A 26,961-nucleotide genomic window follows, 5' to 3' on the forward strand; every position below is an offset into this window, starting at 1 on the left:
CTGGGCAACAGAACAAGACTGTCTCCAAAAAAAAAAAAAAAGTTGAATAAATCCACCAAATATCTTACTGCATAAGTATTTAATTCTTCATAATTACATAGTCTTAAATCCCAAGCATAAAAGCCAAACACCATAAGTCATAATTCAATCAGAAAATATGAAGAGCTACTTACGGAGTCCCACAGAATCTGGTTTGCCATTATCATTCTTACTTGGTTGCACAAGTGGAGCAAATGAAACAGCAAGGATATTTTTACTTTCCCAAGTGTTCTGTCCAGTTCGCATAATCTGTGTTAACTATTTAGAGAAAAAAAAGAAAGAAAGTGAACAACTTAATCCCAACAATGTGGTCACCTTACAGTCAAAACTTTGTTTTAAGGGAACAACTGCCAGTTAGAGCTACACAATCACTTAAATGTAAATGTGACCAAATTAATTCCATTTAAATATTTACTATAAGATATAAAAGGAATGGAAATATTTGCTGTTAATACAGATGTTTTAACGCAAATGGGATACTCAAATATGGCCAAGTGAGTCTGCAATGTTAGATCTGTGGTCTGACAGTGTCTAGGAGAAGCACTACAATCTATACATGCCATTGCCTTTCAAAATACATGTCTGAGACAGGTGCAGTAATTTGGTTAAGGCATTATAGTAATAAGACCATATTTTGACTACATGTTGACTTCATGCTCTTCCATGATATTAATGGAATATAGATTCTAATTCGACCCCCAACTTGATATTTCACAAATAAATGTAATTACAAAGAGACTAGGAGTTTTATCATTTCAGCAAATGCCCATCACTGGTCACGGGAAAAAAATATTAGCTCAATACACATCTTGTTCAAGTTTAATTAGTATATTCAACTTCTATCACAAAAAGCAGCTCGTTATTACATCTGATGTTTGTAAAATAGTATAGAGTAAATGTTTAACAAAATATTGATGAGGAAGTCATATTTTACGTATTTGAAAATGTATCGTTAAAGAAAAACAAAATAAAAAACAAATTGTTTAACTGGGAGTTTAAGCCCTGGAAGCATTCTAATAACATTTCCATGAACTTTTAAAAATGAATATTTATATACTCTGCCTTTTTAATATCTGACAAATGACTTGCTACAGAGCACAGTACATGGTGATAGTGAGATCCACTGAGCTGCCAATGACACATGGTGATGTTAAGGGAACCCCAAGATGTATAAACTCCACAACTATCATGCTAGGTCTCAGTCATCTTAGATACTCTACCTCTACTATACAACTACAAGGTTATTGTAAACATTTCAGATTTCAGTTAACGTGAATATTGGAGATATTTTTTAAATGTGTTTTTATTAACTTTTTAAAGTAATTTGCTTTTGAAAGGTATACCCATTTTCTGAGTAAATTAGTATTTTATTCATTATACCTAATAATTCCAAACCAAGGCTAAAAAAATAAATTTAATAATGCTCATAAATAGCTGCAGAATATTTTCAAATGAGTCTATTCGGTACTAATGAAGATTTTTTTAGTTCACTTGTTTTATTAATGAAGTTAAGTAGTTCAAAATCAAACCACAAACAGGATTTATTTTCTTTTCTGAGACAGGGTCTCACTTTGTCACCCAGGCTGGATACAGAGGCACAATCATGGCACACTGCAGCCTCAACCTCCCGGGCTCAAGTGATCCTCCCACCTCAGCCTTCTGAGTAGCTGAGACTACAGGTGCATCACCACGCCTGGATAATTTTTGTATCTGTTTGTAGAGACGGGGTTTCGCCATGTTGCCCAGACTGATCTTGAACTCCTGGGCTCAAGCGATCTGCCTGCCTCAGCCGCCCAAAGCGCTGAGATTACAGGCGTGAGCCAGCATGCCTGGCTAGGATTTCCTTTCAGTATGTCCAAAGAACTGAAGAATATGGGAAACTGAGCAACTAGTAGAGATCATCACATTCAACTTCTGGGTAAGCAAAACAAAGGAGGAAGCAGCTTGCTGAACACCAGGCACAGGGAGTAGCTGAGCTGAGTTGAAAGCCCAAGTTACCTCCAGTCATAGTAGAGAGATCTTTTCTCTATCTCCTTTGTTTAAATAATTAAGATGTTTCAAGTTTTTTCTAAACAAATAAGATAAATCTGGTGAAAAGTAATTTTTTCTTTAAAAGTTACAATATACCTTTCACTGAATAAAATTTCTTAACCTTAAACAAATTTGCTTGCTTCCTAGGCCACTAAAGAAAAGGAGAGTGGAAGTTACCTGATCCTCTATAGGCATGACTAATATGCCTCCAACTTTTAGTAATATTTTCATGTAGTTTTCATGGTCTTTCTGCACTCCAGCTCCACAATAAATTCGATCATACTGATGACTGTCAGAAGCTATCTGGAGGCAATTACCAACAACAAATGCAGGTTCACAGAACTCAAATCTGCATTGAAAAACAAACATTTTAATTCAATTAAGCAAAACATTAGATCTAAAAAATTTACCATAATCCAGTCCTTTGAAATAATGACGTTACCCAAATTAATTATAAGGATAAAATGATTATAAACTTTATTTAAATATAATATTTATTAAGTTTAGCACTCATCAAATGTATTGTTATATTATCAATGACATAGGACGGACATGTGTTTTCAAAACATTAACATTTTTGCCCACACTGAAACCTCACTTAGGTCTTCAGAAGTAAATATAATGAAAAGTCCATCACAACCTCAATATTGTGACACCCCCCAAAATAACATAACAATGAGAATCATAAGGATCAATAAATGAGAAAAGGCTTCACTTTGCATTGTCCTTTCCAAAAAAGGTGAGGGGCCAGCAGAAATGAGAAGGGTTTGTGTAGAATTCATCTCAGTTTGACATTTTTGCTGAAGGTCAAAGTGGGAGAGCTTTATCAAAAAAAGATACGAGTGTCCTGACCACATACCCCTGCAACCAGTAAGGTTAGGAAGAGTTTCTAATAAATTTTGGCTGAGGAACATCACTGAATGGGACAAAGACCAGAATTAATACTATTTTTTTCATATTGCTGCTTTGGCCCCGATGATCTCCCTAAGCAACAAGAGATATGATTTCAAAGGTATTTTATCTGGGCTGCTTGTTCCTGGTAATAGTGTTGGTTCATGGTACACGGAGTTATGCTTTTACAAACTATCCTATTTGGACTTCTACTTTATTTCTTAAATTTTGATAAAACTGAAAACAGGCTCTAATATAAACGTAATTAAAACCCCAATGCACTAATAAGACAGGTAATCTTTTTAAAATTAATTCGTATCCTTTCACTTTTAAGTTGAATAAAGTTAATATGATCATAGAGCAAAAGCACACTATTATTTGAGGATGAAATAATTCATATTAAAAGGTTTAGCATGCAGTTAAAAATAACACTGATTTGAATCACAATCATTTTTACTCTGTAAAATATACCCTGTCCTTTAGTAATTAATAGACTTATTACACAATAAGTTTCCATTCAGAGTCACTAAAACACATACACATTATAAACATCTATTTCCTAAAGAAGAAAATTTACCAAAATATATGCCCTGCCCTTCATTTCTTGTCTTTTTGTTGGAAGGGTATAAAAGGTGGGGTGGGAAGGGTCAAGGGTGTCCCTGTACTATTGTCTTCATGCCCCCACGCTAAGGCAGTCCATGCCCCATTATTTCTTTTACTATAACTGTCACCTCACTGATCACATTTTTCAGGGCTCTCTTCCATCCCTCTGCTCTCTAATGCGCAGGATAAGTTCAAGCTCCTAGGAGTGCTACGGGGGAATCTTTATGAGTCTACCATCAAGTCTTTCTACTAGACTCCTTTCCTGTCTCTGCCCCAGCCTGAACGTACTACTCTGCAGGCAGACTGAATTACTTGCTTCTAATTCCTTACAGGAACCATCACACAGTGTTTTGAAATCCTGTATCTGTGTATGTGCTGTTCCCTTAACTTAAAATATCCTTCCCCTCTCCTTCTACCCTTAATAAATGCCTGATATCCCTTCAAGATATAGTTGAAATATCAGCTTTGCAATGAAATCTTACTCAATTCTTTAATAGCATCTCATCCTTTCTACTTGCACAGCACACACAAAATGTGAATTTACCTAGGTTAGAGAATCATATTTAATTTCTCTTTTATATTCAAAACTATGCCATAATCTCGGATTGTTTAAAATATGGCCAAAATATAATTTTTGGCTTTTAAGTAATTAGATACTGTAGATCACATGGTTTAATCATCTTATCAAATTCACAGTAAGCATTCTTTAATAATAAGTTGGACTATTTCAGTATGGTCTATCTAAAAATTTTACAGAAATTCATTTTAAATGCTTTAATTTTATAATAATTTATTTCAACCTCATAATTTTCAGGATGAATGTGACTAGGGAATTTAAATAATTAAAAATTTTTGAATTATTAAACCACTTTATCAAACATGTTAAATCAACTAAAAAATATGCTTACAGTTTTAAAAGCTTCCTACTAGTTAAAAATATGTGGTAGCTTACAGAACTACTGCCAAGGAAATCACCATTACAGGTAATGACAACTTACAATTAAAACCACTTTTCATTAATTAGTAGTATTTTATACATGTTCATCACAGCAAAATAAATTAGAAATAATTTAGTGTGTGATTCTAAAATTAAATGTGTGACACTGGGCAAGTTACCTTATACCACTAATTGCACACTTCCTTCAGTCAAATACTATTTATTGAGCACTAGCTTTGTGCAATGACTGAGAATACAATGGGAGACACTCGTGTCTATATCTAATGGAAGAGACAAACATCGAACAATCCTACTAATTGAAATATAAATTACAACTGTGATAAATGCTCTTAAAGGGAAACTGACAGGCATGGGGATCAGAGAAGGGCTCCCTGAGAAATGGCAAGCTGGGATCTGAAAGATGAGACAGGACAATCTAGAGCTGCACTATCAAGATGAAAGCCACCAACCACTGTGACAAGTAAACCCTTAAAATGTGGCTAATTCAAGTTTAGATCATCTGTAATGCGCATGGGTTTTCAGAGACTTTTTAGAACAATGTAAAATATCTAATTCTTTATATTTGCATATTAAAATATACATACTTTTTAAGTCACCTAAAATGAAAATACTAAATAACTATCCTTTTACTTAATAAAGAGTTGCTTCTAATACTTTCTTATCACAATCTTCCCTTTGAAACATTTTTAAAATTTATTTTCCTGCTGTCTTTGAATATTTCTTCTGAATTTAATTGTATCTCCATCACCTATTAGTCCTCAAAATACATTTATTAAATAAATGAACTAAATTAAAAAAAAGAAACATAAATGTTTTAACTTTTCTACCTACCAACGCTGAATATGAACCCAAATTTGACAAATTAAAAATCTCAGGAGTAGAAGAGAAGCTTTTCTAGAAATAAAGTTACAGAAAAAGCATATGCTTATGGTACTTCTTCTAATTGTTTTAATTTTTAAAATACAGACACAGAGTCTTGCTGTGTTGCCCAGGCTTGTCTTGTACTCCTGGCCTCAAGTGATCCTCCCACTCCAGCCTCCCAAAATGCTGGGATTCCAGGCATGAGCCACTGTGACCAGCCACCTATGGTACTTCTCTGTAGTAATACAATGGTTTATGTTTTGTTAAACTGGTTACTGTAATAACTGGAGCTTCATGTTACAGAATACAGTTTTTTCCCAACAGGCCAAAAAAGGAAAAACAAAACAAACTCTTACCTCTAATGAATAATCAACTCTCCTATAACTAAATGACAGGTTTTTCTTGGGCCAGGGGGGCCTTTCTGAAGATCTCAAATCAACCATCCTTATTATTCTAGTAAACAACATGAATGTTTTTCCCTCCAATGTAAAGCAGAACAAGTATAACTACTTCTATCTAAGGGAAATTATTAATACAAAGGATAACTGCAGAGAAAAATCAAATCTCTAAATTAATAAATTTCTAGTAATTGCAACTCCACTTCTAGCAAACACAAAAGGGGTCTTCATACTTTCCTTTAACATGTTTAAATTGATTTCCTTTACCAGAATACTCAAATTTGAAAGTTTCCTTGAATTTAAGACAATATTCAAAAAGGGATATACTATTACTAAATTTAAAAATAAAAATGGAAAGATATAAATAAAATTGGACAAAAAAGGATATCTTTAAATGTTAGCACTAAAAAATCTAGAACATATTAGAGAACTCATCTGCCAAACACACTACAAAGAAAACTGTAACACTACCAATTTTAGTGTCCTAAGGATTATTATTTAAATATGGCTTAACCTTTTCTAGCCATAATACATGGAACTTCACAATCAGTTAAAGAAAAAAGCTCTCAAACTGCATATTCTCACTTTTTTTCAATCTGTAAAGCGATTATGGATTAACTTTCCAATAAAGTACTTATAATATGAACTTAGGTTTTTCTGACTGGGCACACTGTTAAGAATCTTAGACGTTTTGTATTCTGATACTAATATCATGACTTATCTATCTATTTATTTATTTTTATTTTGAGAAGGGGTCTTGCTTTGTTGCCCAGGCTGGAGTGCAGTGGTGCGATCTTAGCTCACTGCAACCTCCACCTCTCGGGTTCAAGCAATTCTTGTGCCTCAGCCTCCCGAGTAGCTGGGACTACAGAGGTGGACCACCACAATCAGCTAATTTTTTGTATTTTAGTAGAGATGGGGCTGTACTAGTAGAGATGTTGCCCAGGCTGGTTCTGAACTCCTGAACTCCGGCAATCTACCTGCCTGGGCCTCCCAAAATGCTAGAATTACAGGCGTGAGCCACCACACCCGGCCCATAACTTACTTTTATACAGCATTTCATGTAAACAAATTCATACCAATCAGGTTATAGAGTGGCCAAAATTTCAGTTAATATTTTTTCCAAAAGTCTATGATTACAATTTTTCAGGTAGGCCAGGTATGGTTCTTCACTCCTGTAATCCCAGCATTTTCGGAGGCCAAGGCAGGAGGATCACTTGAGCCCAGGAGTTCTAGACCAGTCTGGGTAATGTGGCAAGACCCTGTCTCTACAAATTTTTTTTTTAAATCAGTTAGGCACGGTAGCACGCGCCTATAGTCCCAGCTACTCCAAAGGCCAAGGTGGGAAGATCGCTTGAGCCCACAAGCTGTAAACTACGGTGAGCTATGACCATGGCCACTGCACTCCAGCCTGTGCGACACAGCAAGACCCTGTCTCAAAGAAAAAAAAGAATTCAGGTAAATGTTTACTGATATTTATATATATATTTATATATGTGAATAACTAGATGACTGATTCAAGACACAGATGGTGGCTACCATGTTATCGAACACAGTAAATTACAACTCCTATTGATTCTTCCAAAGTAGAGAAAAAAATAAACATTTTTCCTCCTTAGGCCTTGACTATCTTCTGAAAACTGTATGTTACCTAAGTTTCCATAAACCTATAGAGGTAAAGGACATATTTTAAACTACAAATACAATTTCTGTATAATCTCTAAGACTGAACAATAAATTCAACGAAAGTTCTCAGTTTATCACAAAATAATACTACACTATTTATAAAATTACACACATAGGTTAAAAATGGTGAAAGAGAAAATCTGAAATCTACCTTTTTATATCAACGACACAATAAATGAAATCTGAGAAGGAAAAAAATGGCAAAAAGTCTACTAAAATGATACTTAATATGTGTTTATAATTACTCGTAAAAGAATGGTTGGCGTGTTCCTTCCCTAATTGTTATACTTGATTTAGGAGTTCATTAAAATTTTATGTTTGTAAGTAAAATAAAAAGTAGCAATCATTTTTATTCTTTGAAAAAAAAAATGTTCAAAACAAAATTTCCAAGATAGAGATGACCCACACTCCTAAATTACACTACCAAAAATGTTATATGTATACAGAAGGAAAAAAAAATCAACAGTCCTGAAATGTGTATAATAACCACAAAATCATTCATTCTAAGCTTATAATCATTTATTGATTTAAACCTGAAAATCCAATGAATATTCTCAGACTCTCTTAGGCAGATAAGGAAAAGTAATTGACATACTCTTAATAAAATGTACCCTGAAAATCATTTATGAAAAAAATATAGAGCACACAGATATCTCGGTTTAGAACATGAAGACTTGCCCAAAATAACACCAGGATTCTAATCACTTACCTTAGCAGTGGTTTTCTTTATAGGTGCATGTTGGAATATCTTCATCTTGAGATGGACAGATGATTTCGTTCACAGCAGGGACCTTGCCAACTTGCCCATATAATTCTTTTGATAAGCTGCTAGGAGATCAGGGTGACCTAGCCTTGCCCTGTAGCTTCCCTCTTAGACGGATAGTCTAGGTCTAGGAGCTGACTGAGAGTAGAAAAAACAACATTCCCCTTCAATACACTGTTGAAGTGGGGCTGACAATTTGCACACCTAGTTTATCACGTGCCACAGGATGCTGTTATTGAAATTTTAGACAATTATTCCAGTGGAATAGAGAAATTTCAAGGACGTGGAAAAGAATCCTACCTTGTTCTCACACCTCATCCAAAACAACCTGCCAAATGAATCAAAAAACTTCTTTTTCTTGAAATACTTTGTCAAAATACACATTTTGAGTTTTAAGAGCCATGACTGCTTTATTAAGACAAAATAAAACTTCAGACTTTTCCATTGTGAAGAAAACCAAGGGAAATGTTAAACTCTTGATCTCCAGATACACTGATACCATTCAAGGACTCTTGCAATCAATAATTAAGCTATTTAATTACAATTTTTTGAAAAACAAACCTTTACATTTTCAAGTGTTTTCCATTTCAAATGAATCAAAGTCATCTCAGAATAATTCAAGCATTATTCCAAGCAATGTGTTTCAAGTAAATACAGTTACTGTTCATTAAAGAAAGCATCAGAGAAATTCATAGTAACAAAAACAATCTCCAAACAGTTTACAGGAAATGTGACAGGTAAGTCATATAAAGGTGAGCCTTTTATTGCTGAAATTGTATTTCAACAATTTCTTCTCCTAAAAATGTGTTTGAAGCCATGAAATTTTTCCCCATGCCATTTCTAACAGAGGTTAAAACATATAACCGATAGTCCTGACAACTATTTTCAAGGATTTCTGTCTCAACATCTGAATGTCTGTCATAATTTTAAAATGTATTTACATATCTGTCATAACTTTAAAGTATATTTACAATCTCTAACAATTGTTATAAAACTACTTCTAAACATTATTAGAATACCAAAATGTTCACATATTTGAGAAATATTTTGGAATAATATTGAATATATAATGAATTATATATAGGAAAACTCCTTTAAATAAGTGTAATTCTCATAAAGATGAAGTGAATAAAAGATGACAGAATATAGAAGCATCTAATTTTCAAATGCAAATCATATGTGAAAAATGAACACATAATTTAAAATAAAATTAGGATAGTAGATATGACCATGTCAACTAAATCTTCTAAAATACAAAAGTCTAACTCTACATATAAAACTTATACCTCAACCAAATATGAGTAATGAATTGCCTCCCCGACCCATCCCTGACCCCAATAAAAATTCATGCCATAGGCAAGTCTCATTAATGAACAAGGTATGCTCTTTAATATAAATGCTATAGTGAATTAAGTGCATTAACAGCATTCCTTAATTCTAATGTGAAAAAAGTAAATTATGAAAATAAAAGTACTCCTTCAACTTTCCTATCTAGGAAACTTTCCTATACAAGTTGCTAGGCTGTAATTCATTGATGGCAGTAACTTGCTGGAAAGAAATATTAGAATAAATCAACGTTTACATCATAAGAGCCAAACAGAACTAAGTAAGAAGACTCCCAGGCTCAGGTTACAGCCTCTTTTTCTAACCCTCAGTTTTCTCATCTGGGAAATGTGAACACCAATTAATATTGTCTCTAGAACTGTGGATAAAACATTTAGAATGGTTAACACTAATGAACAGACAAATGCATATTAGGTGCTATTATTTTTTATCATCTCATTATTGTTTTCATTACTCATATCATGACTCATTTATATGGCAAACTATACAGAGACAATGGTCTTCCATTCATATGGAATGAAAATCTCCAATGATTCAAACTACATTATACTCATTTGGCTACTGACACTGTCATACTTTCAAAGTCACAGCTATAAGTCACCTAAAAGGGGACGAATATAGGATCTATTGGCCTAATTAATGCTTTACGAGAAAATGGCCCTCTCCAAAGCATGCATTCCAGGGAGCCAAATCAAATACATACATGTATATGCATTACATATGTGTGGCTATAAATAAATGCTATACTAATAATTCATTTTGAAAGTATTTACATGGTAAAAAGTTTATACTTCAGGCTCCTTTAACATACTCTTCTAATAAAGCTGGAGATAATTTTTTTAACTGTACATGAGCAAATACTGACTCATAATTTGACTTTCCCAATATCCTCCTTTCCTCTCAAAAGCCAGATATCTAAAGGCCTTTACTTGTCTAGCTAAAAACAGGATGTTTAGGAGAGAATGTATAAAAGTACAATAGGAGTCAGCAAACTGTTTACAGACAGTAGGCCAAGTCCAGACTACAGCTCGTAAACAGAGTGTTTTTGTAAATAAAATGTTACTGGAACACCCTCAAGCCCGTTCATTTTCATGGCATTTGCATCCAGTTTTATACTGCAAAGGCAGAGTCAGGTGGTGGCAACAGAGACCATCTAGCTTAGCAAGCCTAAAAGATTTACTAACTGGGATTTGTGGGAAAAACTTGCCAATGTTTCAGAGGACCCTTGAAATCACATCATTTTTATAAGAGAATTTCAGTGAATTTTAAAATACCATATGTATCAACGGAATACATCAGACATGAAACTTCCCCCTTCCCTCCCATCTCCAGTACAGTAAATCTAGTGCTATGTACTCTCCACATTATTTCATTTGATGATATAAGACTAAGACATACAAAGTTTAAAAGTACTTACAATACTTTTTTTTAAAGAAAGAATACTACTTTCAAAACACAGGAATCAAGCTCTATACAACATAAAAACATGTTTGTATTTTATTTGGAGAAAGGGTCTCACTCTGTTGCTCAGGCTGGAGTGCAATAGTGCAATCTTGGCTTACTGCAACCTCTGCATCCTCCCACCTCAGCCTCCCAAGTAGTTGGGAATACAGGTATGTGGAACCATACCCAGCTAATTTTTCTAATTTTTTTTTTTTTTGTAGAGACAGGGTTTTGCCATCTTTGCCCAGACTGGTCTCAAACTCCTGGACTCAAGCAATCTGCCCGCCTTGGCCTCCCAAAGTGCTATGATTATAGTGTCAGCCACCACACCCAGCCTATATTTGTATTCTTAAAAAGGTCATCTAACTTTATATATTCTAATGCAGATTAGCATATGGATTTTACCCCCTCTACTGTATTTGGGAGTTTACTATGATCTTAAATATATGTATATAAGAAAACTTTAAAAATGCAATTCAAATCATGACATGGTAATACTTTTGAAAAGGGGACTGATTAAAAAAGATCCAAACCGGCAGCATAAAAAAAACTGGAAGAATATTAGGTTTCAGCTATTTATTCTCTCTCCATTACACATAATCAACGATAATCTGGTACTAAGGAATATACAAATGGCAATTAATTTTCCTCAGTTATCTTATATTTTGTTAACATATATTTTGATGAACCATACATAATTAAATAAAACTGCTTAGAAATGAGATTTTTAAAACCACTTTGCATAGCAAGTTTGTAAAATATTTTAAACTTGAAAATAAGTTTAACTATTATCCACAAACATCAAGACAAACTGAAAATAATCAAAACACATGTAAGAACAATATCATTTTTATAATTTGTCATTGAAACCAAACTGTACAAAAGGAACAAAAAAAAAAACCATTGAATCCAGCCACTCATTATGCAAAATGTTTCATTATGCAAAATGAAACATTTCCCTAGTACCTACTACTCCTTGTATATAAGCTACTTTATAATCTGCAATACATAAGAGTAATGTTTTAGTACACTGAAAAGATTAGGATAATAAAATTTTCAGAACTGTCTTCTTCAAGACTAGTTCATGAATGTAAGAATCTGTTTCAAAAATAAGCTGTAACAAACACTTTAGAAACAACTACATATAATAACTAAAACAAGGCCATTAAAAATTACAGAGAAACATTTATACCAGTCATATCACTGTATTTTACGATTCATCATATTATGAATAACAAACCTGGGTAACACAGTAATGAAAATAAAACTAAAGAAACATAAGCCAGGGAAATTTGAGTATTTTACAATAACAAAAAAAAAAACAATTTGAGAATTTTTAAAAATTGAGATACTTATATAAGTGGTCTTCAAACTTATTTGTGTTGTGATTATTTAAATTACATCAACATAGAAACACTTCAAATCACAACATATTTTCCTGTTTCCCAGGACTATACCCTCTTGCCAGCAATAAGCTTGAGCTCCACAGACACTTGCACAGAGTTGCTTCACTGATTCAAGAGTCTTCCTTGAGTCTGTTCTGCTCAATTAATGACCCAAAATGGAATTATCTGTGTCTTCATGTATTAATAGGTGAAATCTATTAATAACTAACATATAACAGAGCTTAAAATAGACCTTAAAAATTTGCTTTCACTAATACTTTTATATTTTCTAAATTCAAATGTACTCAAAAAGCCCTTCTGTGTACATGAAGTTTCAAGATCAAAACAAATACTTAATAGCAATTAAATAAAATGAACAAAATTCTATAGTTCTAATTGTATAAAAATACATTCATGACTGCATCTTAAGCACTTACCATGCCACTATAATCCTTAAGACAGAGAGAAACAATAAAGACACAAAAAGATGCTAAAATTGAATCCAAATTTCTTATCAAATAATTTGGAGTAAAAACTTTTATTTCTGCCAAACGTGCTTTTCTTGGAACTAGGATATGAACCAACACAGTAAGCCTTGAAAAACGAATCAAAATGTGCATTACGTGTTGTTTATAAAGACAAGCATAAATAAGATACAGGATGGTGCTCAGTAAATTAATGCAGAAAATTCAAGTGGCTTGCTTAAATTCATTGAACTACAGTAAAAAAAAACCTGAGCATTTCCCAACTGCCCCATGCCTGCCTGCAATTTTTAACAGTTACAATCACACCTAGGTAGACACAAGACCTTGCCTTCACTGTTAAGTACTGAGGATTTTGCTCCATTACATCAGGTTTCTGTTCTTCAACCAATCAAATGCCACTTGCCAGACGATAAATACAAACTGGGATTGCAAAGGGGAATGAAACAAAAGTACAAGAGGAAGGGGAGGAAGGCCAAAGGCAGGAAGGGGAGGAAGGGCAAAGGCAGGAGGGGGAAAATAAACATTCCTCTGAAGATATTCACAAGGTTTTTTAGCTTCTTCTCTCTGGTGGTGTCCTTCAATCTAGATCTTTCTAGAGAAAAGCCCTCAGTTCTGATGTAGCCCCCTCCCTCAAGTTGTTGATGGTCATAGCCAAGGGCTGGATATAAATGAGGGCCAACTCCCAACAAGCCGAGTTGAAATTCTCAGTGTTTTTGCCTAAAACTTTGTTCTTTAAAGTGACTGTTCTAAGCTTGTGTTTTCTATCCTTTTTAACACTTTTTCTCTTTGAAAATCAGATACACAGTGAAATGAGAGATGTAAAAGCTCTCCAAATTTTACACAATTTCAAAGAGCTCATGGATTTCAGCGTAAGTGCTCTTGCTCTATAGCAATGCAGAATTTTAGGATTACACACCAAATGGACTTTTCCTGCCAGCCCAAGGACCAAAGCCCGTGCAATGTTTCTTCTAAGAGGAGTTATATTGTGAGTTCAAAACAATGGTTTTATAAACCAATTTCTTATTAACAATCCTATCACAAGATATATCAATGTATTTCTATGATCATTTCTTCTGGATATATTACAAAGTAGCTGAATATGTTAAAGTCCTTTGTATACTGACTGGTACCACCTCTCATGTCCTGAAGAGGACAGAACTACTAAATTACTATCCAAAAGGTAAAAAACCAGTTCCAGACAAATATTGCAATCACAGCATTATTACACTGTATCTCCAGAAAAGATAGCTGAATGTTTAATGAATTCAACATTACTAATAAAGTTGTAGTAGCAAAAAATCACATTATTTATAATTTACTATAGAATTACATATAGTAAAAGTTATACCACAGAATAATCTTAACTTTTTCTCATTTTATGGTGCACTGATTTTTGCTGCATTCAATTGAGCCAGTCAGGATCAATAATAGTGTTCAAGAATAGACATGTTGCATGTATCTATTAAGTGATTTTAAACCAAAACTATAGATATGAATACTTACTTATCAAAGCTATCACTATTTTTGATGAAGCTCTCCAGTTTTTCCTTGGCATATTCCACCACATCTGAATGAAGCTCAATCCCATGATTTATTCCAAAAGGACCTGCAATCGTAGCAGCATTTTTATAAAAAATATTAATAATATGCCCTTACAGAGCTCTTTTTTAAGTTCTGCTCATTTATACATCACAGGAGTATTTAAAGATGGCTTGAAATATGCAAATACTTCCTAGCCTCAGACTTAAAAGTTGAATGGAAATCCACGTACATTGCTTTAATGTAAAAAAAGGGGAAAAAAAAAAGTTCGCCTGAGTTTTCTATCAAAAACTACTACCAGGGATAAGGTTGAAACCTACAGAGTTCTCCCAAGAGAGTAGCTTATCTGGCAGGACAAAACTGCCAAAAGAATAGTATTTCTAAGTGAAGTTTAAGTTACTTGCTATTATTTTATCATTTGCTAAAAAATTGGTAATTCAAAATACCTAAAACCATGGGCTAACACAGATATTACATGAATGTCTCAGGGCATCGCTACCCCCAGCCAGTAGAGGCTAAATTCCCACCCCACTCCATGCCTTTTGGAGCTCCCAGTGCCTAGCAGAATGTGGCCATTGGGCAGCATGCTGGACTTGACTCTCATGCTCCAGCATCTTTTACACTTCTCACTTAGGCTTTCTCTTTGCATATGCCCATGGACGGACTACCTCCCAGGAAAAGGGGAATGAATAGAGGAGAGTTTTCCCAGCCCCGAGAGATGTTATTGGGCTGGCTCTTTTCCCTCACCCTGAAAATACGAGGACTCAGTGTCTCCTAAGGCTACTGTACATACATACTAACCTGCCCCATGACCCACATGAGAATATAACACACAAATTACAGTTAGTCCCTTTTCAACTTCTGAAATTCAGCCAACCAGGTTTTCCACTCAACATTTTTGTTTCACTTTGACATTGGTCCTGGAAGGTGTCTTATTTTCAGTATCTTTAGGAAATACTTAACTGGATGTGCCCTCTACCAAATGTCTAAAACAACAGTGCATATTTGGATTGTTTCTACTGACCATTAGGTACTTTTAACCAAAAAATCACAATCATAAATTGTCATGTTTGAATGTTGAAACAGTACATGTAAAATATGGTTTGCCATCTAGGAAATATCCAAACTATAAAAATTTAACCAAAATGTTCAGATATAATCTTAAACCCAAAATCCAATAAGGATAATGCCTTCCCCTACTATACTTTTATAAAAACATTGCTTTTACTTGAAAAATGTGTTCCAATAGGAAAAATAAATAAAAAGGTGCTTGATTCATCAAACCACAACAGAATTAACTTCCTTTGCAATGTTTTTACATTTTATAAATTGTCCTGGTTAAAGCAATGTCAAACTTTTTGCTTGTTTCCTTCCTTATGAACTCTTAGCCTTCAACTGAAAACTGGAACGTCTGCCCAAAATCATTTATGACTTCTTGTAATTCCTATTACTCCAGATAAACTGAGTAAAACTAAAATTTTTATATTCAAAATAATAAAGCAGCCAAAAAATTAAACTTAGAAAAGCACAGTGACTTTTCAATATATTAAATGTAAATATTCTGAGAATTTGAATTTCCATAGATGTCAACATATAAAATGTTTTAAAAAACCAAATAGTTTACCTCATTTAAAATAATTCAAATACAGGCAGGATGTGGTAGCTCATGCCTGTAATCCCAGCACTTTGGGAGGCCAAGGCGGGCAGATGGCTTGAGCCCAGGAGTTCGAGACCATCCTGGCCAACATGGCAAAACCCTGTCTCTACTAAAAATACAAAAATTAGTCAGGTGTGGTGGTGCACACCTGTAATCCCAGTTTCTTGGGAGGCTGAGGCTTGAGAATTGCTTCAACTCAGGAGACGGAGGTTGCACTGAGCCAAGATCTTGCCATTGCACTCCAGCATGGGTGACAGAGCAAGACTCTGTCTCAAAAAAAGAAAAAAAAATGAAATAAAACTACACTTACTTAACATTATGTACATAGTAAGAAAAATACTATCCTATGACATAAACCTAATTTCCCTTTCTTCCTTTTAGGGTGATCCATTGACTATAAAACATGAGATGTTTACATTTTCATTATCCATTAAGAACCAAGGGCCAGGCACGGTGACTCACACCTATAATCCCAGCACTTTGGGAGGCCAAGGTGGGAGGATTGCTTGAGCCTAGGACTTCGAGACCAGCCTGGGCAACATGGCAAGGCTTCGTCTCTACAATAAACTAAAAAAAAAGTAGCCGGGCTTAGTGGTGCATGCCTGTAATCCCAGCTACTCGAGAGGCTGAGGCAGGAGGATTGCTTGAGACCAGGAGGTAGAAGCTGCAGTGAGTTAGTTGTGTTGCTGCCATTGCACTCTGGGCTGGGCAACAGAGAGAGACCGTGGTTTTGTTTGTTTTAAAAGAAGAAAGAAAGAAAAAAGAGAAAGAAAAAAATCTGGTTACATGTTTATAAAAAAAGAAAAACCAGGGCTGCATAGATAGGAGTTCAATTGAAAAGGTTAATATTGCTGGCACTCTTATGTTTCCTATAAGACTCTTATGTTCCTGCCACTACAATCCGGGCTGGGCAACAGAGTGAGACCGTGTCTTTAAAGAGAAAAAAAAGAGAAGAGAGAGAGAGAAAAAAAATCTAGTTACATTTTTATGAAAAAAGAAAAACCAGGGCTGCATAGATACGAGATCAATTAAAAAGGTCAATACTGCTGGCACTCCATGTTTCCTATAAGACAGAATATATAAATATAATAACAAAGGTGTTAAGAATCTGTAATCAAGGCTTCTAATCCATAGTTCAAACTGCATTATTAACAGAAAGAATCTGAATTTCAAAGTTCTAGGCTCTCAGTTAAAGACGCCACTGGTCTCTTTTTCGTTTTATTTTTCCTGCTTTCTGCTTATTATCTAAAAGCAAAGTGTCAACTTTTGCAAATAAGCTTAAAGAAAATTTCTTAATTTTTTTAAACATAACTTGTTTTTCATACTACCTTGACACAAGATATTTAATAATGAAAGATAAAGACAATTCATTAATATGTAAAGAATTTGACAAACAATATAAATATACATGCAAAATATGCTATGCATTAATACTGAATTGTAAACACCATTTATGATTTTTTATAGATGAAACTGTTTAATTTTCAATGACATGGAGGCACATCTTTAATGATCACTACTTAACAATATGAATGGTAACTAACATGTTCAAAGTAAATTAAAAAGAAAAATGCATTAATAAAAGGCAGAATTTAAATAGCAATGTCACCAATATCTCATTTATTTAGAATGTGATATACACCTTGAATGCATTAAGTGTATAAAAATGTAATGCAATGCTGATTATTACAACTCACATTTGGTATCTGTATTAAATAGAACAACAGGAAAATAAAACAGAAAACTGAAAAAGCATACATAGCTGCTTCTGAGAAAGGGGACTAAGAGATCTAGGGTGGTAAGGAAACATTTTTATCATTATATGCTCTTGTATAAAATTTGTTTTAACCATTTGCGTGTATAACTTTTTCAATTAAAAAACAATGGGCTACTGAAAGATTAAAAAAAACATAAATGTTCAAATAAATAAACAAGTAATATATAGCTAATAGGTACAAGTTGTCAATGGAAAAAAGTGAAATGGTATCCAAAAGATGATGATATTAACAGGCCAACTGAGGCATGAATTTGACTCTGAATTCCAATGTTATTTTGTATTCGCCAATGTAAAGATGTTTCTATGAAACAAGGGCTTAATTTTTGTAACTTTTTTTTTAAAAAAAGAAAATATTGACCTTTAATAGCTAAATATTAAAGAGAACATAGAAACATACAGCAAAGTCAAAGTTTATTAAAACAAATACAGTTATTAGAAATTCCTAGGTATCTTTACATAAAAAATAATTTTTAAGGTTGACAAACCCCCATTGATAACAATAACAAATATAGTAAAATCTAGGCTGCTTTCAAGTTTTCAAATCACATTCATTGCACTCTTAAGAGTGCTTTTCTAATAATTGGATCTAATCTAGTTCATTTATCATTTACCAATTAGTCAAGAACCCAAGCTTGCACATAAAAGTTAATAATTATTAGGTTTAGGCATCAAGTGTCTATGCAATACCAATATTTTTTATTTATGTCTATGTTCGCCCCTTGTAATGTCCAACATTTTGACAGTGTGGTGCTGATGAGTAGAAGACTGAGGCAGACCAAGGAAACCTGAGAGTTCCACACTGCATTTGAATGAAGTTCACTGTGCCTTTAGTATTTTGTGTAAAGCTAACTTACAGAACATAGCCACAGGCAAAAAGTACTTCACAATACATAAAGTTCTGAAGATGAAATAATTCAAGATCCATCATTTCAGTTGAGGACTCTGAGGTCAAAATACTGGTGTGGTGAGAAAGATAGTAGATTAAAGGTCAGATGTCTTGGCTTCCAATCCCAATTCCTCCTAACTGTTGTATAATCTAAGACCAGTCACTGTAAGACCGGTTCCCACTGTATAATAGTAGTCCCTGGGAAAAAGCATTAAATTATGTAAAACTTTGCACACTATAATGTAATCGACAAACTGTTGTTAAAAAATTATGATGTGCTCTCCCCCCATATACAGAAATAGTTATAGAAGCATAATTATAACCTACATAAGGGGTTCTCAACCCTGACTGCCTACTAGAATAACCTGGGAATTTTTAATTTTTAAAAGTAGATTAAATTTAATTTGATTTAAACTGTAAATGCCTGGGTCCTACCACAAACAGATAAAATGGAATCTCTCAGGGCGTGACCCAGGGTCTGCAGATAATCCTAACATGCAACTGGGGCTGAGCAGTACTAGCCACCCCTCCTAATTATGATAAAGCCCCATCTGAATTATTTTTTAAAATCTGTTTTAGACTATCCAAATCTCTGTTCTCATTATAGTAAAGTAACATCAAGAGTTAACAGCTACCAATAAAAGTATTTTGGCTAAAACTAAATATTCACCACAAGGGGGAGTAGGTGGATCAGTCATTAGGTTTCTACGAAACTAATATAAAGTCAATGAGAATCAAAATATAAATATAAAAGGATCTTTCAATAAATTACAATGATATTTTATTACTAATTTTAGTTAGATAAAATAAGGTATCTTTATAAAGATTTATAAGCAACTTTGTAAGTATTCAGGGAGAGTAAAGGGTAAAAAGTCGACAGGAATAGGTTTCACTCTTTCTTTTCACAAATATCCTGTGGTATAATGCACAAAAATAAAACAGACCAAAGGTGAATAAAGGAAAAAGGAGGAAAGCAATCGGCGAAAGGCTAAGTAATTATTACCTAGACAACTAAGAGAAGCTGTTCTAATATATTCCGAACACTTATTAAGATATATTTAATTTATTTCTCCCATTCAACTATATCACATGGGGAAAAACATCAAACACTGTCAAATTTGTCCTGAGTCTTGCCATGTTAGCTTGACCACTCTGAAGCTAATAAGATCAGACCTTGTTATTTGCTCTCCAGTTTTGGGGGAGGCATCATGAAACAAGTCCTGGAATTTGCCAGAAACAAGTTCTAGTCCCTCAGGCTCCTCTCAGTCAATGGCTATGTAAATGCTACTCTCTTTTATCATACATGAATCTCAGAAATATGTTTACATAAGATCTCAAAGTGTTGGTTTCACAGTTACAGAGAATGGAACCAAGGCCCTAAGTAAACCATATCTCTAAAATGTCGAAATATCAACAACAGATGTCACGATTAGTTCATTTACATATTTCTACACAATGTACTAATATTCAAGACTAACAGGTCAAGAACAACCTATGACTATACCTCAATGTGCGCAATAGAATATTAAAATAGAGATTAAATTTCTAACAAAGCAAATTCAATAAGCTGAGAATAAGGTATATATAATACAGAATAGTTTCAAAAGCTAATTTAAACAGCTTCAGATTTTGACTCAAATTCTTTTTTTTTTTTTTGAGATGGAGTTTTGCGCTTATTACCCAGGCTGGAGTGCAATGGCATGACCTTGGCTCACCACAACCTCCGCCTCCCGGGTTCAAGTGATTCTCCTGCCTCAGCCTCCCAAGTAGCTTACAGGCATGAGCCACCACGCCCGGCTAATCTGGTATTTTTAGTAGGCACGGGGTTTCTCCATGTTGGTCAGGCTGGTCTCGAACTCCTGACCTCAGGTGATCCGCCCGCCTCAGCCTCCCAAAGTGCTGGGATTACAGGCATGAGACACCACCCCTAGCCTCAAATTTTTCTTAATGCAATCATTTTCCCTGGAAGACATTTTCATCAGCTCTTTCATTCCACTGCACATCTATTTGTGAAGTACTTGAAGACACTTGGGACCAGCATGGTGATAGATTCACATAAATACTCAATAAATATTTACTAGACTAAATGAAGAACAGCCAATAAGATTAACACCACACTTTTATTGCTAGTTCAGAAGCATCATGCACAATTTCAAGGGTAGGAGATGTGTCTTGAACACTTCCATATCCTCAGCAGCTGGCACAGGGTCTAACATAATACTTCTTTAAAGAATGATAAAGTACACAAATGTAGCTACAGTCTCAAATTTAAAAGGTTCACAACGAAGACTGAAACAAATGATATCCACAAAGCATAAAAATATTTTTCATGTCTTGATTTTTAAAATAGTGCCTGACCAAAAATTATGTTAAATCTATATTATCTGATGGTAGGGAATGATGCATACCACAGAAGTAAATGTTATTAAGTACATTCCATTCAAAATTAATTTCTTATTAATTTTAGCTGCTTGATAGAAATCTGTCAAAATTCAACAAACATTTTCCTTTTATTCCTAAATTTGCTTCTGACTCCAAGCCAACTATCATCCCTATAAAGCGGTATGTATTTGCAAAAATCACAGTGTCCTCAGAGCTCTATAAAGTTATCGTCAAAGTGGGGAGGCAACGAGGTAAAATATAGGAGAGGAAGAGAAGGAAAATATTTCAAAGTATGCCTTTTGATACTTTTGAATTTTCAGCCCTGTGATTATGTTACCTACTCCAGAAAATAAAATTAAAGAGGAGAGACTGGTACTCAAGTTTCTGCATTATGTAATTTAGAAGAAAAAAGTACTCTTCACTAAGAAAGGAAACAGAGGAGAAAGAAGAGAATTTGTTAAACTTTTTGTCACGTGTGGAAGAGGGCAGGAAAAGAATTGTTGGGGACAGGCCTCACTTCTGGAATCTTTTGTACACTGGAGAAGAAACAGGATGCAGGCACCACATGTTTAAGAACCCAGATTGGAGTGCAGCTTGGAAGATCAAGAGTGTCCAGAGCTCAGCTGCCGGACCTTGGAGGCAGAAATCTATGAATCCTTTGCATGTGGATGTTACTTGAAGAAAGACGAAAGATTCACCCTTCACTACAGGATAAAGCCAAAGTTGTTCATTCCCAAAAAAGGACAAAGTATTTATAAACGTAACACACAGAGATGTGAAATCCAAGGAAACAATTTTTGGCAAGGGTGTAGGAGGGTAGATGGACTGACCCTGCAAGAGCCAAACCCAGAGAGAATGTGAAGGCAGGTTCCAGACGAGACCAAGAACTCCAGCAGACCAAGCAGCCCTGCCAACTCCAGTCAACCTCTGGCTCTAACCTGACGCATTCAGTCCAATATCCAACTCAGCCTAGGGAAGACTTTGTCATAGAAAAACAAAGACAATTCTGTAGGTGCCAGCTCCTACACAGGGAGATAGAGATTCACAAATTTTACACTTAAGGAAACAAATTCAGAAAGGTTTAGTACTTTTCTCAAAGTAACACGCAGTCAATTGTCATTATTTACTGTATAATAGTTATGTTCTAAAAAACATACAGCAAACATTGAATTAGCAAAAGATGAACTATTGCTCCTTAGGAAGATATGTACATACATAAATATATTAAATAGATTATAATATTAAATCCTGAGAACTCATCCTGGTAGAGACTATATTATTTATTTTACAAAAGAGAAAATAAACTTAAGTGTTAGTGACTTGCCTGAGCCACCCCACGAACTGTTGCCAGAATTGGGATTCAAGCCATCAACAGGCCCCAGTGCAGACTGGGAGCTTGTGACATGCCTTTGGTCATCTTTGTATGACCACAGAGACAAGGCAGAGAGAACTTCACTTTATCCCACCTTAGCTAGGAAGATGCAAAGCAGGAAACTCAAATTTTTTGTTCCTCTCTGCAAGCTTGTTAGTGATCATAAAAGCAGTGTGAGTTTTGATTTGGGCAGTTCAAATAAGTATTAGTAAGTACGTGAATTCTCAAGAGACAAAATTTGCAAATAGTAAGGATTGGCTGTATTTGCTACATAGACAATCTTGGTTGGGAAACAGTTAATCACAAAGATAAAACTCAAAATGCTCAGAGAACCACCTAAGCCACTTCACATCACTGGAGAAATTTCTTCCTAACTTCTAAGAATAGTGTGAAAAAATATAACCAGAAGAAATTACTATGAAAACTCTGTAAAACCTGTATTGACTTCTAATATTTATTATTTTATTTACTATTACCCTGTAATCAGCAGTAATATTATCCATAAACACAAAATCACCTGGATGTTGATTTTCAGAGTTAGCAGCAATAAAAGAGGTGGTTGTCAGTAACGACTTCTACTCCACAACCAGTGTAAGTGAGAGGGGGAAAAAAAAAATCTAAGAAATAGAACAGTGGTGGCAACTCCATACAGAGAACAAGAGCAGAAAAAAGATGCCCAGAAGCCTAACTAGGACTAAGAAATAATAGTTCAAATAGTTAAGAGTTTCATGAATTTCATAAAATGTGATTAGCCTAAAATAAAAGGTTGTTTTCAAAACAGATTTGCTCACAGAGCCCCAAATAAATCACATATCAAGAATGGATGGGCCAGGCGCAGTGGTTTATGCCTGTAATCCCAGCACTTTGGGAGCCCGAGGTGGGCAGATCACAAGGTAAGGAGATCGAGACCATCTTGCCCAACACAGTGAAACCCCGTCTCTACTAAAAATACAAAAATTAGCTGGGCATGGCGGCACATGCCTGCAATCCCAGCTACTTGGGAGGATGAGGTAGGAGAATTGCTTGAACCTGGGAGGCGGAGGTTGCAGTGAGTGGAGATGGCACCACTGCACTCCAGCCTGGGCTCTGACAGAACAAGACTTGTCTCAAAAAAAAAAAAAAGGCTAGGCGTGGTGGCTCACGCCTGTAATCCAAGCACTTTGGGAGGCCAAGGAGGGTGGATCACCCGAAGTCGGGAGTTCGAGACGAGCCTGACCAACATGGAGAAATTCTGTCTCTACTAAAAATACAAAATTAGCCAGGCGTGGTGGCACATGCCTGTAATCCCAGCTACTAGGGAGGCTGAGGCAGGAGAATAGCTTGAACGTGGAAGGCGGAGGTTGCAGTGAGCCGAGATCATGCCATTGCACTCCAGCCTGGGCAACAAGAGTGAAACTCCATCTCAAAAAAAAAAAAAAACAAACAAAAAAAAAACATAATTTATAATTCCTAAAAAGAAAAAAAAAAAAAAACAGAGCAAGGCATGGTGGCTCACACCTGTAATCCCAGCACTTTGGGAGGCCAAAGTGGGCAGAACACTTGAGGTCAGGAGTTCAAAACCAGCCTGGCCAACATGGCGAAACCCCGTCTTTAATACCAAAAAAAAAAAAAAATTAGCCAAGCGTGGTGACGTGCACCTTTAGTTCTAGCTACTCAGGAGGCTGAGGCAGGAGAATCAACTGAACCTGGGAGGCACAGGCTGCAGTGAGCTGCGATCGTGTCACTGCACTCCAGCCTGGGCAACAGGGTGAGACTCTGTCTCAAAAACAAACAAACAAACAAAAAATTCCTTTTAAAAAAAAAGTGTAACACAGTATAGAGAAAAAACTCAGGTTCTGTTTGATGCATAAAACAGAGTATATCTTATACAGAAACCTTGATACCTGCAGAATGTGTTTTTTGTTTTGTTTTTGAGACAGAGTCTCGCCCTGTCGCCCAGGCTGGAGTGCAGTGGCATGGCTCACTGCAAGCTCCGCCTCCCGGGTTCACACCATTCTCCTGCCCTCAGCCTCCCGAGTAGCTGCAACTACAGGCGCCTGCCACCATGCCTGGCTAATTTTTTGATGTGTGTGTATTATTAGTAGAGATGGGGTTTCACCGTGTTAGCCAGGATGGTCTCAATCTCCTGACCTTGTGATCCACCCGCCTTGGCCTCCCAAAGTGCTCGGACTACAGACTGAGCCACCGCGCCTGGCCCAGAATGTGTTTTATCTTACCAAGAAGAATGAGAGTTGAGGGACGGGGGAACTGACCACCCTGGATCTCCCTAATCTTTTGGCCTAAAGTAAGCTAATAAAGAACATTCTTTAAGAGGCACTTAAAAGAGCATGAAAAAACATTTGAAAATTATATTTGTGATAAAGACTTATATCCAAAATATATAAAGAATACTAACAACTCAACAATCAACAACTCAATTAAAAAACAGGAAAAGATTTGACTAGTCATGTCACCAAAAAAATATACTAATGGCCCATAAGCACATGAATAGCTGTTCCATTATCATTAGTCATTAAGGAAGAGCAAATTAAAACCACAATGAAATACTACTTTATATCCACTAACACGGCTTTTTAAAAAATGAAGTAACAAGTATTAGTGAGGATGTGAATAAACTAGAACCTCATATAATGTTGGTGGGAATGGAAAATGGTGCAGCCACTCTGGAAAACACTTTGTTGGTCTCTTAAAAACATAAATTTACCATACAGGTCAGCAATTCTACTCTTTAAGAATCTACCTAACAGAAATGAAAATGTATATCCACACAAAGATTTGTACCTAAATGCTCATAATGGCATTATGCATTTGGTCAAAAACTAGTAACTCAAATGTCCATTAACTGGTGAATGGATAAACAAAACGTAGTGTATATCTATACAATGAAACAGCATTCAGCCATAAAAAGGAATAAAGTACTGAGACATGCTACAGCATGGATGAACCCTGAAAATGTAATGCTAAGTGAAAGAAGCTGGATTCAGAAGACCATATATTGTTATGATTTCATTTATATGAAATGTCCAGAAAGGACAAATCTATACAGACAGAAAGTAGGTAACTGGTTGTCAGGGACTGGCTGAGTACTGGGAGGGGATGCAACTAGGCATGGGGAATAATCTTTTTAGCACATTGGCAGTATCCTCAAACTGGATTGAAAATCACTGAATTGTACTCTTAAATGAGTAAACTTGATGGTATGTGAATCATACCTCATTAGAGGCAGAGCGAGCAAGAGAGAACATGCATAAGCATGCAGGCAAAAGAGAGAAAGCACGAGCACTGAGGTCAAAGGCAATATAGGTTAGCTGAATAAGGACCATTTAACGTCCCATGACAAAGAGAGAGAGTGTAGAGGTCAAACATCATGGCAGCAGATAGCTTAACTAATGCTTCTAAACAATATGGCAACTGCAGTAAGTTTCCTGCTTACCAATTATTTCACCTTTAGGAATGAATGTTGTAGCAGCAAGGTAGTGGCATCCACAGTGCTGGATGGCACTAGCAGTCTCCCCAGAGTCACTCCTATTAACTAGGGAAATAGGCAAGAGACTAAGAGAAAGTCATTAGGTGGGATGAATCTGTGTATTATATGTTTTATAAGATACCTAGAATTTTTATATTATGGTTTATACAAGAAAATGAAAATGAATCCCTAAGTAAAAAGGATCAGAATTCAGAATCCCTACCTGAATCACAAAGAGTTTATCAGAATAACTTGCCTTCGTGGTTCTGATACTCCATTCAGTTATGGAAAGCAGAGGTAAAATACAGGACGTGGGAGGCTGCTTTATTTGCATCCTGTTTTTCAAAGGAATTCCCTGAGAATGAAACGACAGTACTGAGAGGAGAATCAACTAAGTACTAGATCTTTACGAAAACCCTTAGTTCAGGGAAAATATTTAAGGAGAAGCAAACAGGACATGAATTATCTTCAATTTGAAATTGAAAAACATGTCTCAATGAGACATCTCAGGAGTTGATCTATTCTCCACTTTCTTCGATAAAAGTAAATTTATGAATAATTCCCTAAAGTGTGCTTTAATCCTAAGAAATTTTCTGAAGAAAACTCAATACAAAAATTAACCACGCGTGTTGGTACTACCAGCTACTCAGGAAGCTGAGGCGGGAGAATCACTTGAGCCCAGTAGGTCGAAGCTGCAGTGAGCCAAGACCGTGTCACCACGCTCCAGCCTAGGCAAGAGAGTGAGACCCTACCTAAAAATAAATGAATAAATTAATAATAATAATAATAAAAGAAAAACCTAACTTACTCTCACTGAATTCGTGTTTCTGGATTTGTGTTTCTGGAGTGAAGTGGAAATTCCCCAAGGAGTATCTTCTTTAACTGTGTTACCAAATCACAGATGCCCCACTCTCACTGAATTTGTTTCTGGATTTGTGTTTCTGGAGTCAAGTGGAAATTCCCCAAGGGGTATCTTCCTTAGCTGTGTTACCAAA

The 26,961-nt window shown here is 35.3% G+C and overlaps 1 protein-coding gene across 7 annotated transcripts in view; it reads right to left on the minus strand.

Annotated features, from left to right (window-relative positions):
• The window catches only part of PCMTD1 (protein-L-isoaspartate (D-aspartate) O-methyltransferase domain containing 1), an 81,612-nt gene that overhangs the window by 13,696 nt on the left and 40,955 nt on the right, over positions 1-26,961 (minus strand). For 5 of the 7 annotated variants that reach the window (XM_047421325.1, NM_052937.4, XM_047421323.1 and 2 more), the window contains 3 exons: positions 14,391-14,493; positions 2,248-2,419; positions 174-297 (listed from right to left, as the gene is read on the minus strand). In XM_047421325.1, the coding sequence (XP_047277281.1) occupies positions 174-297; positions 2,248-2,301 (178 nt within the window). In that variant the 5' untranslated portion in view covers positions 2,302-2,419; positions 14,391-14,493. Of the gene's footprint in view, positions 1-173; positions 298-2,247; positions 2,420-8,176; positions 8,369-14,390; positions 14,494-26,961 lie in introns of all 7 variants that reach the window. The other 2 variants (NM_001286783.2, NM_001286782.1) reach the window with 2 other exon arrangements.

This window comes from Homo sapiens, chromosome 8, assembly GCF_000001405.40.
Source record: "Homo sapiens chromosome 8, GRCh38.p14 Primary Assembly".
Taxonomy (NCBI): Eukaryota; Metazoa; Chordata; class Mammalia; order Primates; family Hominidae; genus Homo; species Homo sapiens.